We start from the raw sequence: 18518 nt of genomic DNA on the forward strand, positions 1-18518 counted from the left end.
CAAAAGGTGAAGGGTATATTTGCTTCAAGGTGTTTCTGATTTAAGATAGTGGATTGGCCCCATGAGTTTGTCTCTCCTCCATCCCACTATAGTAAAATGAAAGAAATTTTTAAAATATGAGAAAAATTATTGATAAGACTCATCATCTTAGATGAATCTCAGGGGCATTATGCTAAAGAAAAGAAGGCGTTTCAAAAGTTACATATGGCATTTATTCTATTTAGAACTTTCTAGAAGATAAAACTATGGGGATAGAAAACAAATTGTGGATTATGAGTGGGGGGAAGGGAGAATGACTACAAAGGGATAGTATAAGGAGTTATTTGGGGAGTGATGGTACTTTTCTTTATCTCTGGTGTTAAAACTCACAAAACTATGCTACCAGAACAGAAGTAAAATTTACCATATGATAATCTGAAAAACAATTTTAAAAAAGATATGAGCCCAAAATTTGAATAGAGAGGAGGCAGCAACAGACAAATGATTTCAACAAATTTGTGGAAAACTGAAAGCAGATGGAATATGACTGAGCTGAACAGAGAAAGCTGCAATCTAGAGGGACTACAAGGCGGATACCAGAGGGAAGCATGCTGATTGATTCCACAACCCCTGAGAAGCTCAGATTTGGAGGTGAAAGTTACAGCAAAGAGTGGAGGCAGGGACAGGCCTGAAAATGACTAGTTGAAAGCATATACAACAGAATGGCCTGATCCCCAAAGTCCTCTGCCCTACCCCTTAGCCATAAAAATATGATCTCTCACTTCCATCACTGTCTCTCACAGGTAGAACACCAGAGAATTTTTATCTGGAGAAATAAATGGGAGACAATTAAGTGGAAGAAATATGGGGAGGGACAGATACAAGGAAGTATGTGTGAAGTGGAAATCAGGAGGTGAGATGGAGGACAAGGAAGAAGCACAGTTAAAAGCAGTAAGTAAGAGAACCTCCCTAGACCCCTTGAAGCACTGCCCACAAACACAGAGCTTTCAAATAGTGTTTTGGAGTCTACTCATATATTGCCAAGACTAGCCAGAAATAACAGGAAATTCGCCTATATGAACAAGAGAAAAAACAAATTACAAATAGCAACAAATAAACTTTGGTGTTAATAGAGCAGTAAACAAAAGTAGTAATATATATTCATATATATATATCCTCAGAAAAATAAGATATCTATAAACTAAGTAGGATATTTTGGAAACAAAATAAAATGAAAGAAGTTCTAGAAATTAGAATATTTTTAGAAATGTGCTACAAATTCAATACAAGGAAGATAATGTTGCAAGAAAGTTATGTAAATGTTTTAAATAAGGCAATTATTAATTCCAGGAAAAATAAAATTATGCAAAAGAAAATCATATTACATTTGCCCTAGGGTATAAAATATTTATACAGTCATACTTAAATAACAGCTAATGCATTTACTAAATATTATGATATAACTACATAATAGAAGGCAAAGTATGTGTGTTAGAGAGCTAAATCATGTAACATCATGTAACAATAATGTCTAAAATTGTTATATCAAGCAACAGAATAGCCATACTATTTAGATACACTAAGGTAAAAGAAGAAACAACTTTTGGAGTCACAGTGATTGCCTCTGGGAGGGAAGGAAAGTTCAGGCAGGGACTACTATTTTTTATCATAAAGCCTTTAGAACTTACTATTTTATTTTTTAAAACTGTGTACATGTTACTTTGATAAATTTTATAGATATACAAAAGGAAATAAGGCCACCACGGTCTGATTTGTTTTTAGACAAGATATTTATTTTGAAGTTCCAAATGACATTAGCAGAATTGTGATTTTTATGTTTACTGAATGGTGCATGGGATAAAAAGGGGTTCTAAAACACTTTACTAGATCATCCAAACCCTACAATAGACACTTATGCATCAAAATTCTTGTAAAAGGACCACTTCCCTACTCCCTCCACCCTCCCCTCAAAATACCCATGTTCACAAAGAACAAAACCTTACAGCTTAACCAACAAAAAATGTGTCATACAATAATTCTAAGGCAATGGTTCTATGAAGACAGGAGAGGTAGCAGGCTGAACCGCATTCACTGACCCTATCTCTCAGCTGCTCCTCCTCACTAGTCAGGTTTTTCCTGTGTACCCCACTTCATTATTTCCATCATGCTTACCTCTCTGTTTACTGGACATTCCCCTTGATCTAATACCAAACTTAGCCAGTCTAACTGTAACTCAGATGATAATCTGACCACTTCCTGGTAAGAACAAATGGTTAATGTTGTCACAGTGATTAATAAATACAAATATGAATTAATTTAACAATGAATTACATTTTATCCCATCCAGGCATGAAGAAGTTAAAACCTGGACTCACTGACGCTGTGTTAAAATTTAGTGCTAAATGTAAGCAACAACACTGGAGCATTGTTATTTTATCAAGACACCTGAACATAGCAAAATTAATTTTGTTCATTTTTATTAACATAGGACATACTAACCAAATATTATCATTTAATAAAATCAACGTTACAAAGAAACTCACTAGCAAATAAACAAACGATATTCACTTGACTCTTCTCTTGGTTGAATGATTTTCTATTAATTAGTAGTACACAGCTATTTTTATCAATTTATGCTTAAACTGCCTTATGATTTCAATGAAATTTCTTAGCTTTTACTTGTTGAATAATTTTTTCAATTGGGAATCTTTTCATAATTCAAAATAGTTCCTGAAAATTAATGCATCCTTCAATGTCTTCTACTTAAGCTGGGTGCATTTAAAATGCAACACAATTCTTTGAAAGGAGACTATGACATTTGAGCATAAAGCCTATAAGAAAAAGAAATGTCTTCCCTCCCCCCATGCTTCACAGAGACTATACGAATGTTCCATACTCTTCATATTTAGCAACAGGAGTTCCTTAGAGATCAAACAGCAGAAAACAGGAGGAACTTAGGCCATCAATGGACTTGTAAAACAGATAAAACTCCAAATGTATTTTAAGATTCCATCTTCTCCACAGATGAGAAAGTGCTGAAAGGGCTCTTCAACTTTTCTTTAGCGACATCCTCTGTGCCCCAGTTAGAAAAAGAGTTGCAGGATGGTAGTCCTCCTTAAACAGCACAGACTCAATCTGGAAAGAGTGGCAGAAACCCCTCTCCCCCAACAATGTATCCCCGAAAATAAACTGCCAAGTGCAAGAGGGACAATCTTCAGAATAAATAATATTCTGAAGGACTGACAAAACAGACTATTTTTAGACAAAGAACACACCAAATACTCCGAAATTTCAGGATAACCATACATCAAGTACTTCGTGCAAGTAATATTTTTACCAGTTAAAAGTCATTATGAAACACACATTCTTTTAACTGAATTTCATATGTTATATAAAACTTGAAAAGTGTGGCACATTTCTACTATTAACCATTACATTGTTTTTTGTTTTTTAAAAAAAGTATATATTAATCAAAAGTATACATTACCCAGACCTTTTGATTTAAAATATAACTGAAGGAAAATATAAACTCTGAGTAAACAGGCATTCTTCTACACAAACATGAGTTATTTCAGTAAAAAAACAACAACAAAAAAGCAATTTCAATGTAATTAAGCCACCTCTGATTAATACATATTTTCATGCATGTGGAAAAATTATTTTTAACTAGAACTTTAAGAATAAGTTCCATAGCAAACAAGTTACAGCATTTATTCAATAAGGAATATTAAAATAATTCATTAGTAAAAAATAAAATAACTTCAACCATATACATATTATAATTTATCATGTACATACTCCAAAATCCCCATAATTTAATTAGGAAATTTATAGAACATCTTTTTAAAGTATGTCTTAGGAAAACCAACCAAAACAATTGGTGCCTTAACTAAAGAGAATGTGCATACACATTGCTATTTGACCTATATGCAAAAGTGGAATGAAATACATAGGAAATTAAGGTTACTGCTTTCAAAAATTTCTGGAATATTAGTACTTAAGTCAAAACACTTACCTGCAGAATAAAAACAGCCTGAGTATTTCCAAAGCTGAAGTAATTTTCTGAATGTTAAATATCACAAGAATGAAAACAGTCTCCATTAAGCACTTACATGTGGTTTACAGTTGAGGCAGAAGATGAAGGTCTGCCAAGCAGTTTTCCCATATCACCTGAATTCTTTCTTCCCTTATAAAGTATAAGCTTCAAGGGAAATGATTACATATAAAAACATTCCAAGTGAGTTGGGGTTCCTGACTGCAACATTCAACCAAACGGAAAGAGGAATTTTTTAATTCTCCTAAGCAGGACCTACCCAACCACTGCAGACATGAGCATTAATTCTTATGCCAGACAAGGTAAGCGTGTCCTTTGAAATCAAAGCTAAGCTTGACAAATAACTGTACTGGATAAACTGGATACATGAACCACCTCAACAAAGATGGTACTTTAAGCATTTATACACATGAAAATGATGAAGTGTATTATTTAGATATGGTCTTTCTTCATCTTTCTCTGAATCCTGAAAGGTTAGCAAGTCATTATACTCATACATCTTGTAATCCCTTTCTCCACAAAATACATACACATATACAGCTTCATATGTCAATATAATATCATCAACACAGCATAAAGATTTAAGCAGTAGACACAAGTCACATGAAAGAGGCTCTATGCATCATGTGGCCTGTCCGAATAAAAAGCAAACATTAGAATGCCATTTCAGCAGTTACAGTGTTGATATGATCAATATAGCTAATTTTTTTATACCCGTCATATATTTTTAGAAGTCATCCGTAGGGAAGAAGCAAACAACAAAGACTGCTTTTTTTTAGAAAAGTTATGTGCCAACTTCAAAATGACATACTAACCAGATATCAGCATTCGAAAGCTAGGTTGAATAGGACTGGCCTTGATGCACATGCAGATGATTTGCTTTCATAATATAAAATTAAATGGTAATGTCAGCTGTATTACTACTGTTTCTATATTTATGATTAATTACTAGCAGTACAACTCCCAGAAGGAAGGAGATGGATCCAACAGCGATGTAAGCAATCCCCAAAAATGGATTTTTTCCTCCCATCCATGAAATAGTGCTCAAGATCATCCGTTTTCGTCCATCAAAATAATGTACAGGGTAATCTGAAGAGGGTATAGGAAGATTTTTCCATCTCTGGTTACTTGATGTTTAAAATACAATTTTAAAAGTTGCCATTTAATTGTTGGTAATTCATTTGTGTAATTCTAGGATATACAGGTACCTCACTCCTACGTTCTAAATCACACACACACACACACAAAGTATTATCTTGAAAGACTGATTTAGCAAACTAAATGTTAGTAGTAAAAGCCAAAATATTTTACCAAAACAAATAAATGTAAAGGTTATGTAGTTTCTCAGGTGCTTTTGCTCTCATTACATGGAAGGGGCAAAAGGCCTCAAAGGAATGCAATGTGAAAAAAATACTTCAAGTGAACAATGAAGCCCACACAAGGAGACTGACAGACCAGGAGAAAATGGAAAAATCAGGAACTAGAAGTCTCCATGAGCTCAAAGAACACATGTATCAAGAGTGTAGTTATGAGACTATGAAAAGGCTCTGAGCAAAAGATCAAAAAGCATGGTAATAAAAAAGTTTTAACTTGCTGATTTGGAGCAATGGCAAAACTCACTCTGTGACACAGCTGATAGCTAACAGTGGCAGTGAAGGGTGGGCTGTTAAGGAGATTTAGGAAACAGGGCACCAGTGTACTAGATGAATTATCTACATGGACCAGTTGTAGAATTTTGCAAGAGGTAAGGCAGCAAAGAAGACAGAACCAAGTCTCCATGCAAAAAGTTTACAACTTTTTCAAAAGCATCTTTTGAATCTAGGGTTAGGCCCCATCTGTTTCTCTAGTTTCTTCAACTCTCCATCCCCACAGATGGGTCCCTATGGGTCCCTAACTCCCAATGGCAGGTTCAGTTCTGCTAACTTCTTAAATTAACCCTAAACTAAGGCAGGAATGATTTTAAGACCTCTAGCTAACCCAACATTCTGTGGGATACAGTATCAAATTACCCATGCTTGTCTCTCTCTAGTCTCCCAAACCTAAAGAAACAGGCTTCTGCCATCATTCTAGTCTTTAGTTCCCACCTTATGCCCAATTTTGATAATTAACCCTTGATGTTTTGCAGGTCCAAATTCCTGTCTTATCAAGTCTTCTCAATCTGCCATATATCATGCATTCCTTTAGATAGTTCTTTCAAACCTGGGACCCTGCTGCAGAATTCCTGTATGGAAATCATCTATCAACTAAAAATTCCTCAGTGCTTCACAGACTTCCCTTCATTGTGCCTTAGGCTACAGGTTGCTAAATTTGCCCTTACTCTCTAGAGATTTTCTGGATGCTAATTTTAACAGAGCTACTCTCTAGTTTGACTATCCCCTCAGGATAATGTTATTTCTACCAGCACTTGAAGTGGGTCTGTCTGTCCAAAACTGCTCCAATGTGGATTTAGTTTCAAAAACTTGGTCACTTTTAGCCTGCCATAGCAGGCCATATTTACTTGTGTATTCAGGTGCAACATCAAGAGAGTAGAATTCAAAAAAAACCTTATTTTGAAATTGGGTCTATTAATTTAACCATTTACTAATCCATTTTAAAACCAAAACCCATATGGATTATGACTCATTTGGATTATGGAAATAAAAATGCAAAGATCAGCAAACATTTACAATTCTAATATTGAGAGATCTCTTCACTCACAGTGTATGTAAAATATAGACTCCAGATTAAAAGATGCAAAGACTTTGGTTAGAATAAAAGAAATTACTGAGTATTTCCCTCCTAAAAAAGACTGCATCTATGCAGATATGGGTTGGTGTAACTGAGTGAACTAGCTAAGACGCAGGCTATGTTGGTAGCTGAGAGTAAAATTATGGCCTTTGGAGTCAACAGCCTGGTTATGAACCTCAACTCTTTATTATTACCTGTGTAAAGTCAGCTAAGTTACTTAAGTGCTCGATATTCCTGTATTCTGGTCTGTAATAGGGAGATATGCTGCTGCCTGAATTAAGTAATGAGCGGAAAATACTCAGCACAGTGTTAACACATAGTTAGAGTGGAATAAATGTATTTATCAGCACTGAATGTGAACTTATTAATATGGAACAATATAGCTAATAATAAAATGTTTTGATACTACCAATAGATCAAAATCATGAACAATTACATTGATACAAATTAACACATCCGTTGATTTTTAATATCTAAAATATATATATTAAAACAGCCCAGTACCACTCAACACCCAATTTTAGGTACTCTCATTGGCCTTTACATTAAGCCCAATTACAATCTCCCTTGTAAAAATACCTAGCTTGTTAATAAAACAAGCACCTATATTTTAAGTAATTTTACCAAACAATATGCTTCAAACCCCAGTACCAAGTATATGCGAATTCAAAACATTTCTAGAAGACGTAAATTTAAAAATACATTCTCACATATACCACACATACTTTTGTAAAAATGCAGAGACCAAAACTAAAGCACAAGGTAACATGCCACATAACAGATATAAGGTTGGACTCGACTCCTTTCAAGCTCTATGAATCTGTATACCCAGCCAAAAAAGGATACTGTATGTGACATTCAAAGAGTATCGGCCAGCTGGTAATGTTGGATGTAAATCACTTTTCCTTTCTATAAGACGATACAACTTGCGAAAAGTAGGTAATGCTGCAGTACGCATCCAAACAATAAAATCCTCATTTATGAATCCATTATTATCTGGGTCAGAATCCAGCATGTAAACTGGTTTAAGCCAGTTCACAGGCTTTGTTGTACCTTAAAAGGAGTGGGGAGGGGATAAGGAGACAAAATATTACATTGTGAAATTAAAGTGGCGGAGAAACGAATAAATTTGGATAATAAATAGGGGTTTATTCAAAAGAAGCTTTGCTGCAATTTTAAAATATTATAGCTGAAATGCTTATAAGACATCACAGAAACTGAATTCATAATTAAAAGTATACATTTCCTTTAGAATTTTAGTACATTAGAACATTTACCTAACTTGGTATGAAGCTGAGGAAAGAAAAATTGTGTTTTTCAAAGCATAACTTTAAGATTCTGAAGATAGAAAATTTAAAATACTTCATTAAAACTCCTAGTTTAATTTTTTAAGGGATATTAGTAATGTTTTACCTTTAAATCGTTCTTCCAGGTTGTCTCCTCCAGGGGGATTTCTGAATTTCACATTTTTATCTGTCCACCAAGCAATACCTTTCTTTTTCAAAGCGATAGGTATAGGATAAGAATCATTGCCAATGAGAAACAATTCTAATGTATCTAAACACAAGCAAAGAAAGACATTACTAACTATCTCTTGAAAACTCATAGCATCTGCTTAACTCTATGAGAAATAAGGACCTGATATTTGTTTCCAAAAGTGGTTGTGACAGAGTAGGCATATGATTCACATTTGTTCTTTATTCCTATGTGGATTAACTATGGTAACTTTATAATTCTAGATGGACTTCTCTTCCTTTAACAGAGTTCTAATTCAGTTACCCATAGGCTAGCTGACATGCAGTAAGATCAAATGTTTTAATATTAACCCAACTATAATTGCAAGGTAAATCTGCATTTCCTTCCTTCCAATAATGCATCCCCAATAGCTTCTTGCTTATCCATTTCTGTTTGCATTGTCTCATACAACAGCCACTAGGCACACAGGGCTACTGAGTCTTTCATATGTGGTTGGTCCAAATGAGTATGTTCTATAAGTGTACAATACACATCAGATATCAAAGACTTAGTATAAAAAATTAGAATATGAAGTATCTCAACTTTTATATAGTATTATATGCCGAAATAACAGTATCTTGGATATACTGTTACATAAAACATATTGCTAAAATTAATTTCACTTGTTTCTTTTCATAGTTTTAAATATGACTATTAGAAAATTTAAAATTACCAGGCCAGGCGCAGTGGCTCACGCCTGTAATCCCAGCAACTTGGGAGGCCGAAGTGGGCGGATCACGAGGTCAGGAATACAAGACCAGCCTGACCAATATGGTGAAACCCCGTCTCTACTAAAAATACAAAAAAAATAGCCAGGCGTGGTTGCGGGCGCCTGTAATCCCAGTTACAGGGGAAGCTGAGGCAAGAGAAATGCTTGAACCCAGGGAGCAGAGGTTGCAGTGAGCCGACGTCGCGCCACTGCACTCCAGCCTGGGCGACAGAATGACGCTCCATCTCAAAAAAAGAAAAAGGAAAAAAAAAAAAAGACAGAAAATGTAAAATTACCTACAGGACTTGTATTTATAGCTCACATTATATTTCTATCAGATAGTGCTGCTCTAAATGATCAACTATAGCTCCTTTTCAATGATAAAAATGAAGTCAGTGGGAAGGTCAGCCTGACTTTTATTTTTATATGAAATAAGATTAGCAGAATGTTTCTGCTTCTTTCTTCTCAGAGACAGAAATCCACTCTAAAATGTAAGTATGCTCAAAAGAAAATCACAAATCATTATAATACCCCATTCAATACTCGATTTAGTCTTAAATGTTTGAGTTTCTCAATTTCATTCATGTTTACTAAACTATCAAATCTGTAATGAAATTATGCAAATTGTCCTAATTATATATGTCTATATTTGTATCTATATCATACCATTAAACATGCTGTTGGCAATAGCTCCACAAGGAGCAATTGGTTTGTCTTCATTTCTTCGATAAGGTTCACATTCCTTACTGGGATTCTGGTTTTTACAAGGAAAAGAAGAGAGAAATTATTATCCAGGCCTTTGGGAGAACTATGAGCTATCCCTAAATTACTGATTAAGAATTCAACACCTATATTTTTCTCACTTATAATACACAGGTCTGTAATGTAAGTAGGCTATAGATAACACCACATTTAAATATTCAAAATGTATTCTGAACATTACTGCCTTACCTTTTTAATATAACCTTTACTTGCATATGTTTTGTCATATATGCATATATCAAATAAACATCTTTTTGATTTTCTTATCACAGAAACATTACCACAAAGGGTTTTCTGCCCAAGAAAAATTAAGAAATGGTCTATTGCCAATCCAGTTGTGATATAACAAGAAAATCTTAAACTGGAACTAAAGAGGCTAGAGGTTCTAGTTCCTTGGGCAATTCCTTTAATTTAACTGGGCCTCACAAAATAAACATGTCCAACTATACAATCTGAAATTTTGTGATTTGGGGTTAAATCCTATATCTAAGAAAGGAAGGAAGGAGTCTAGTGCAGATTCCTAGAATATATCAATCTTTAAACTGTGCATCCAGGTACAAGAAAAACAAAAATGCTGACAAGGCAGAACATTTGCCTGTGGTCCAGATTTTGGTTTTGACTTACTCCCTACTGAGGATCTTAAAGAGGTGTGGCAGTTATGGGATTCAACTAGAGATCATATCAAGTCTGAGGTTAGGGGTCTGTCTGAGCTGGGACCCTCCCGCCACATTAAGCCATGTCTCAAAACACATAAACATACCAAGATAATCTCAATTTGAAATTAAGAGGACCCTAATTAGACCTCTTAGGACTATTTCATTACCAGCTAACCTTGACTTGTATCTATATTCTCCATGTCTAGATTGGATAAAAGCACTTGTGTGAATGGAAAAGATAAGGCTAAGGAAGTCTGTGGTAGGTATCTCATAAAGTCTCTTCAATATTTGACTTCTCAGCTTTTTGGTCCCTACACCATCTGTATTGATAAAGCTATTAACAATAGGGCAAATATATCTGCTAGCCACTAAATTCTTAAGGAAGTTTTAAAAGAAAGGAAAATAGTATTTACTATCTATGTGTCAGGTACTAAACTAAGCAATGCTAGGTACTTTGCATTAACTGGCTTACAAAAGCTATTTGATGAGGGCCGGGTGCGGTGGCTCATGCCCCTAATTTCAGCACTTTGGGAGGCCAAGGTGGGAGGATCCCTTGAGTCCAGGTGTTCGAGATAAGCCTGGGCAACATGGCGAAATCCCATCTCTACAAAAATACAAAAAATTAGCCAGGCATGGTGGCGTGCACCTTTAGTCCCAACTACTTAGGAGGGTGAGGTGGGTGGTTTGCTTGAGTCCAGGAAGCAAAGGTTGCAGTGAGCAGAGATCGTGCCACTGCACTCCAGCCTGGGTGACAAAGTCAACCCTGTCTCAGAAAAAAACAAAAACAAGCCGGGCACAGTGGTTCACGCCTGTAATCCTAGCACTTTGGGAGGCCGAGGCTGGTGGATCACGAGGTCAGGAGTTCAAGACCAGCCTGCCTAAGATGGTGAAACCACGTCTCTACTAAAAATACAAAAATTAGCCGGGCATGGTGGTGGGGGCCTATAATCCCAGCTACTCAGGAGGCTGAGGCACAGAATTGCTTGAACCGGGGAGGCAGAAGTTGCAGTGAGCCGAGATCGCACCACTGCACTCCAGCCTGGGCGACAGAGTGGTGAGACTCCGTCTCAAAAAAAAAAACAACAAACAACAACAACAAAAAAAAACAAAGCTATTTGATGAGTACCTAATATGCAGCATGTACAATACTAGGTGCTAAAAACAGAAAAACGAAAAGAATACAATCCCTATTTTTAAGCAACTCAAAATGTAACAGGGGAAGCAGACCCTTACAAAACCAACTATCATACGAAATAAGAGCCATGATGAAGATGTCTACATTCATTCAGCAAATATTTATTAAATGCCTTCCATGTGCAAGCACGAGCCAGGCACTTGGTAAACAGTGATTAAAGAAAGTCATGCTCCCTGCCTTCATGAGCTTACAGTATAGCTGGAAAGAAAGATAACAGATAAGCAAATATGTAATTACAAATTACAGTAAGTGTTATGAAGAGGCTATGTGAGTATTTAATGGAAAAAGGATAGGAGGAGCTGCTTTAGAATCTATGGTAATGAAAAGTTTGACTCTGGAGGAGGTATCATTTAAGTTAAGACATAAAAAAAAGACCAGGAGCCAGCCATGTAAAGAGAAGACAGAAGAGAGTTTTAAGCAAAGAGAACACCACATGCCACTAAACAAGAACTTATTTCTGTGAAGGTAATGGTGAATGTAGCTGGAGCATGCCAAGAGGGAGGATGATATGTGATGAGATAAGAGGATTACGCATAGCTCAGATCATCCTGAGATTTTACTACAAGTGCTAATATGACCACTGAAAGATTTTAGGTAGGGAAGTGATATTTATACTTTTTAAAAACTTCACTATAGCTGCTATGAGAATGGCCTGGAAAGGAGCAGGATTGGATGATGTGAGACACAATTTGTTCATCCAAGCAAAAAGTGGTAGTGACTTGGAACAAAAAAATAAATGAAGTAAATATGTAAAGAAGCACATTTTTGCATGGAAGGGCACTTAGAAAAAATAGCAGGCCTTGAGATGAGAAGACCTCCAGGGAAACAGTAAAAATGACATTCTAAGCAAATAAAATGCTAACTGGCAAAATGAGCAGATTACTTGTGTCACAATGCATGGTTAGGGAGCAGCAAACAAGGCCCAGGGCAGCCAGGCCTTGTTTAATGTATTAAAAATAGTATATAAGATAATAAGGCTGATGCCAGATTGTACAGGGCCTTACACATAATATCTGACCCTTTACAGAAAAAGTTGATCTATTCCTGGTGTGGCCTGAAATCTTTGCTTACAGTTTGGAAGAAAAGAATCAGTTTCAGTTTTCTTTACCCTCAGTGAACACAGCACATATATAAATAAAATAATTGTAAATCAGCCACCATTTCTGGGGTTTTGGAACACACACTATCTATAATCCCTAAAAAACACATTCAGAAAGGTCTAGAAACTTGGTGTATCTCACAGTACAACATCTTCTCTGGATTTGAGTGCTAAAAATTGGATCCTATGGAATAAACCCCACATAGATTCAAAATATCATAGGCCTAACCAGAACCCTGTGTATACCAAGGAATCTTTAAGTAGACTTGTATTGCTTAAAATCCCACACATCAGCAACTGATGATCAGCAATAAAACCAATCAAGATAACCTAGAGCAGTTATATTTTACATTTCGGAGGCCCATGCTGCTCACAACATAGTCCTAAATTGTATTCTAAGAGATTCATTAATTCTAAGAAATCCTAAATTGCTCTGGGCCTCTGAATGTTTGCTGCATTGGCAACAGTAACATAAAATACTTAGGGCCGGACACGGTGGCTCAAGCCTGTAATCCCAGCACTTTGGAAGGCCGAGGAGGGCAGATCACCTGAAGTCCAGAATTTGAGACCAGTCTGGCCAGCGTGGCGAAACCCCGTCTCTACTAAAAATACAAAAATTAGCCGGGCTTGGTGATGCGCACCTGTAATCCCAGATACTCGGGAGACTGAGGCAGGAGAATCACTTGAACCCAGGAGGTGGAGGCTGCAGTGAGCCGAGGTCGCGCCACTGCACTCCAGTCTGGGCAATAGAGTGAGACTCTGTCTCAAAAAAATAAAATAAAATAAAAAATAAAAAAAAATACATAGGCACTAACCACTAATATGGAAAACTGAAGAACAGTAAAGAAACTAAGATCCCCTAGTCCACAGATTTCCAAACCAGTCTGGGCATCAATGCATCTGTGTGAATTCCAGGAAAAAATATTTTAACTAAAAATCCTCATGATACAGGCCAGGCATGGTGGCTCATGCCTGTAATCCCAGCACTGTGGGAGGCCGAGGTGGGCAGATCATGAGGTCAGGAGTTTGAAAGCAGACTGGCCAACATGTTGAAACCCCATCTCTACTAAAAATACAAAAATTAGCTGGGTGTGGTGGTATACACCTGTAATCCCAGCTACTCGGGAGACTGAGGCAAAATTGCTTGAACCTGGGGGGTGGAGGTTGCAGTGAGCTGAGACTGTGCCACTGCACTCCAGCCTGGGCGACAAAGTGAGACTCCATCTCGGGGGGAAAAAAATCCTCACTATACAAACTATAAATGACAACACTTTAATTTCATCCTAACAATTCTAACTGAACAGTTACTACATATTCTTATTTTACAGATATCATATTTTCATATTTATCATTTTACTTACAAGCAAAGCACTAGAATCTCCATTTAGTTGACTATCATCTCGAGATTTCACGTAACGACGATGGTTTTGATAGAAATTAGACAGTCCATAATACATAAACACGTTGCCCTAGAGAAACAGAGAGGGAAAAAATTTTCATATAAAAACTATTCTGTATAAACTTATTTCATGTGTACATAAAAGCTACGTAATTTGGACTTTTATTAGTTTACAATTTGTGATAGGTAGTGGGGTAAATTCCACCAGTACTTAGCAATCTAAAATGGCACAACTGTAAATAAGGCTAGAGAAGGTATGTTACAAAAAGCCACAAGTAAACTTTAAAACTATCCTTAAAGACGTCAAAAAAGTACTATTTACATTAAAAGAGAATATTCAAGGAATCTATTAGCCTACTCTGAGCTACCTTCAATTTAAAATTTTCTCTAATTCAAACTGGTCTTCACCCAGTTAGCATCGACTTTTCACAGGGATAATGGTCAAACTTGTTTCTTTTTTTTTTCTCCCAGAGACTAGAGTCTTGCTATGTTGCCCAGGCTGGCCCTTAATTCCTGGGCTTGAGCCGTTCTACCGCCTCTATCCCTAGACACTGGGAGGTGTGCACTACAGGTCTGTAGCACCACGTGCAGTTGAAACTTTCATTTTTTTTGTCCAAGTGAATTCTGAACTTGAATTGGGATATAATAAATTCCTCAAGAGGACACTATATAATATTATGAGTTAATAAACTACTAATTAGTAGAGTCTCTATGATAATAAGCCACTTTATAATAATCAAGAAAAGTACTTTAATATATTTAATAGCGCCAACTTTGAAATAACCTGGGAAAGAAGGGTAACCTATAAACATTACAATTATTTAGAAGATGCTAAGAAGCCATCTTAAATGATTAAAATTTTTAGAGGTAGCAAACATTAAGGTATTTTCTCCTTTCTGGTTGCTACCTCTATTTTCTATATTCTTATCCTTAATTAAAAGTAATTCAGTAACATTATAAGTAGACTTCATTTGATTTGCTATTTTTATATACACTATCATTTATTTAATGCTTGACTTTCAAATGTCAAACCATGCAAATTTTCCCATTCTATATAAAGAAAATGTTTACATGGAAACCTTCTTGTGGAAGAGAGGGAATATCAAAATTACATCACAGAAATTGAGAAAATGAATATTCTTTTTTAAAAGGAAATATTACCTCGAGATTCAGTACAGTAAATTCAATTTGTAAACTGAAAAAGAGATTATTTGAATGAACACTGAGATAAAATAACCTACTTGAAGTTCCCTGAAGAGTTTAGTCCAATTCAAAGTTTGAGCTTGTGAAGAAACACAGAGTCCACAAGAGAATGAATTTGAGGTTGACTGCCTTTGCAAAAAACAAGTTCTGAAGTGTTTTTTGAATGGGAGAGAAAATTAATAGAGCTTCTATATCACTACTAGTCTCTCGTTTCTTCAATTCTGCCTGTTCTGACAAAAGCAGAATTTATTGTATCTTTATTGTCTGCCCATCACACTGAAAAATCATGGACTTGTAAAGATACTTTAAATGTATATTCTGTTTCTGCTGAAACAAAGTTAAATAATTACATTTGTCTTCTACAAAATTTGTTTTCATGTATTATTCAAAAGCAGCATGATCCTGTCCTTTATGTCAGTGCAAGAGCATCTATAACCACTAGATGGCAACCAACTATTAGGGACTATTAAAGTCATCACTACCTTTAGAAAATCTTAAGTTCAGAAAATCTAAAAAGTTGGCATGTATTAACGCAGTTTTGCTCCCTTAAGAATAATTATTTTAAGCTCAATTTTCAGGCACAGGAGAATACAGAGTGGTCTTTACATGCCTATTCTGAATCTTTATGTCCGTTAGCATGTATTCAGAATGGCAGTGTAAATGCAAACAGATGGATTTCTAACTACTTATAAAAACATAAATGATCAGTAAGGTTTTAATAAGTGTTTGCATTTTTTATAATGCTTCATATGTCATAAAAATAATTCAATTAAGTAATGGGAGAATTATTTATTTTCTAAAGTAAAGCTTGCTTTAGTATCGTAAGTATGCACAACAATTTGAGCAATAATTTTAAAAATACAAGTATATAAAACTTGATAAAAAATTGATTCGTACAGTCATAACATTATCTGTTGAAAGGATAAAATACAATATCTTAAATTTTGTCTACAAAGTACTAACTAAACCATTCAAATAAATGTATTTAATTACCAGACAGCAAAATCCAACAGCCAAACACACAAAACGATCTTCCTCAAAAGCCTATAAACTCCAGTAAATTATACAGACTTCTCTATAAAAGGAAAATACCTTGTAAAAGACATTTAGTACAGTATCAGTATTTTTTAAAGCATGGCTTTTCTAGCACATTACTTGGAAACACAGACCTCAAATGACTTTTCCAGTGTGAAGTTAATGGTACAAAAGCAAGGTGTCACATCCGGAGATAAACATTTATTACAGGGACTGGAAGGCTCTGTTCCGGTATAATCAATCTGCAAGAGAAAAATATAACTAAGCACTTCCTTAGAGAAAGTGGATACCTAAAACACTCTGAAACGACTTGCTATTAAAAGGAAAATTAAGTCCAATGAAATGACCTAGAGCTCAGACAAAAACTGTTTTTAAGGTCATCTGTTTGACAGTGTGAGGTAGTAAAAACTGGAAAGGGTCCTCTGTTGTTCTACTGGCTGATCTTTCCAAGTAAAGTCCTCTCTTCTTTTTATCAAAGAAATATATTTATGCATAAAATCATACATACAAAATTCAAAACTGCATATTTACATAGCTAAAACATCTAAACTATTAAAATACTAGATTAACAGAGATCAATAAATCAGTTTTTCCTCTTAAATCTTTCAATCTTAAATACTTTTCAGTCACCTCAGCTTTCCATTATATACTTTTGAAAAAAATTAGGTTACCAAGAGCTACTGTTTTTTCAACACCTGGTGCTGAATTTGTCTTTGTCTTGGGTTCCCGGCAAGGAGCTTTATGCTTGGAATTTCCCAGGTGACAGAAGTATCTTTGTTATTCATAAGCCCCTTGATTCACACCAGAGTTTATGTTAGTTAACAAGATGACTCAGGATAGCAGCTAGTCACCAGAAAGACTAATTGTGTGATTGCGGACCTTTGGCCCAGCCCAATCTCTTAGGAGGAAAGTGGGGCTAAAAATTTAGTTCAATCAATTAGTCAGTGTTCAATCAATCAAGCCTACATCATGAAGTCCCAATAGAAACTCTAGACACTGAAGTGAAGGACAGCTTTCTGGTTGGTGAATCCACTAATGTGCTGGGAGGGTAATGTGCTCTAAGTATACAGGGAGAGGGCATAAAAGCTCTGCATTCAGGACTGTTCGAGACCTTGCTATATGTGTCTTCTAGGACCCCCTCTGAATATATAGCCAGTTGGTCAGAAATATGGGTGACCTGGAGATCCCTGAACTTGCAAATGGCATCTGAAGTGAGGGAAATCTTATGGCGAGGTAGTGAGAATGGTCTTGGGAACTCCCTGGATTTGGAGCCAGTTGACAAGAAGTATGAGTGGCCTGGGAACTTGAATTGCAGCTGGTGTCTGAAGTGGGGGCAGTCTTGTTGGGGACCATGCCCTTGAACCTGTGGAGTCTGACACTATTTCAGGATGGTTAGTGCCAGAATTGAATTGCAGTATACTGGTTGATGTCAGAAGATCTGGCCTGATCGCTAAATTGAAAGGCTTTTTTTTCCACCATAAACATTTTTAAATAGACTAATTTTTATAGTTTAAGGTTCACAGCAAAACTGAACAAAGTACAGAGTTCCCATATACTCTCTGCCTCTGACACACACACACAACTTCCCCCACTATCAACATCTCACACCACAGTGGTACATTTGCTATAATCGACGAACCTACACTGACACATCACCATCACCCAAAGCCCACAGTTCACACTAGGGTTCACACTTGGTGTATATTCTATGGGTTTTGACAAACGTATAATGAGTATCCACCATTATGTTATCATACGGAATAGTCTCTCTGCCCTAAAAAACCTCTGTACTCTATATCCCTCTCTCTGCTAACCCCTGGAAAGGACTGATCTTTTTACTGTCCTCATAGTTTTGTACTTTCCAGAATGTTATATATGAAATCATACCATATGTACCCTTTTCAGATTGGTTTCTTTCACTTAGTAATACTCACTTAAGATTTTAAATGTCTTTTCATGGGTTCATAGTTCATTTATTTTTAGCAATAAATAATATCCACTGTGTGGATGTGCCACAGTTTATTGATTTGTTCACCTACTGAAGGACATCTTGGTTGCTTCCAAGTTATTGAAATTATGAATAAAGCTGTTAAACATCCATGTGCAGGTTTTTGTGTGGACATTAGTTTTCAACCCACTTGGCTAAATACAAGGTATGCAATTGCTGGATCATAGAGTAAGAGTA

General features: G+C 35.9%; 1 protein-coding gene across 2 annotated transcripts in view; it reads right to left on the reverse strand.

Annotated features, from left to right (window-relative positions):
• Positions 1 to 1750: 1750 nt before the first annotated feature.
• The window catches only part of TMEM30A (transmembrane protein 30A), a 31869-nt gene continuing 15101 nt past the window's right edge, over positions 1751 to 18518 (reverse strand). The window contains exons 2-7 of one of the 2 annotated variants that reach the window (NM_018247.4): positions 16468 to 16575; positions 14058 to 14165; positions 9651 to 9738; positions 8174 to 8317; positions 7607 to 7813; positions 1751 to 5122 (exon numbers count right to left, since the gene is read on the reverse strand). In NM_018247.4, the coding sequence (NP_060717.1) occupies positions 4929 to 5122; positions 7607 to 7813; positions 8174 to 8317; positions 9651 to 9738; positions 14058 to 14165; positions 16468 to 16575 (849 nt within the window). In that variant the 3' untranslated portion in view covers positions 1751 to 4928. The remainder of the gene's footprint in view (positions 5123 to 7606; positions 7814 to 8173; positions 8318 to 9650; positions 9739 to 14057; positions 14166 to 16467; positions 16576 to 18518) is intronic. The other variant, NM_001143958.2, reaches the window with a different exon arrangement.

The sequence above is a fragment of the Homo sapiens genome, chromosome 6 (assembly GCF_000001405.40).
Source record: "Homo sapiens chromosome 6, GRCh38.p14 Primary Assembly".
NCBI classification, from domain to species: domain Eukaryota; kingdom Metazoa; phylum Chordata; class Mammalia; order Primates; family Hominidae; genus Homo; species Homo sapiens.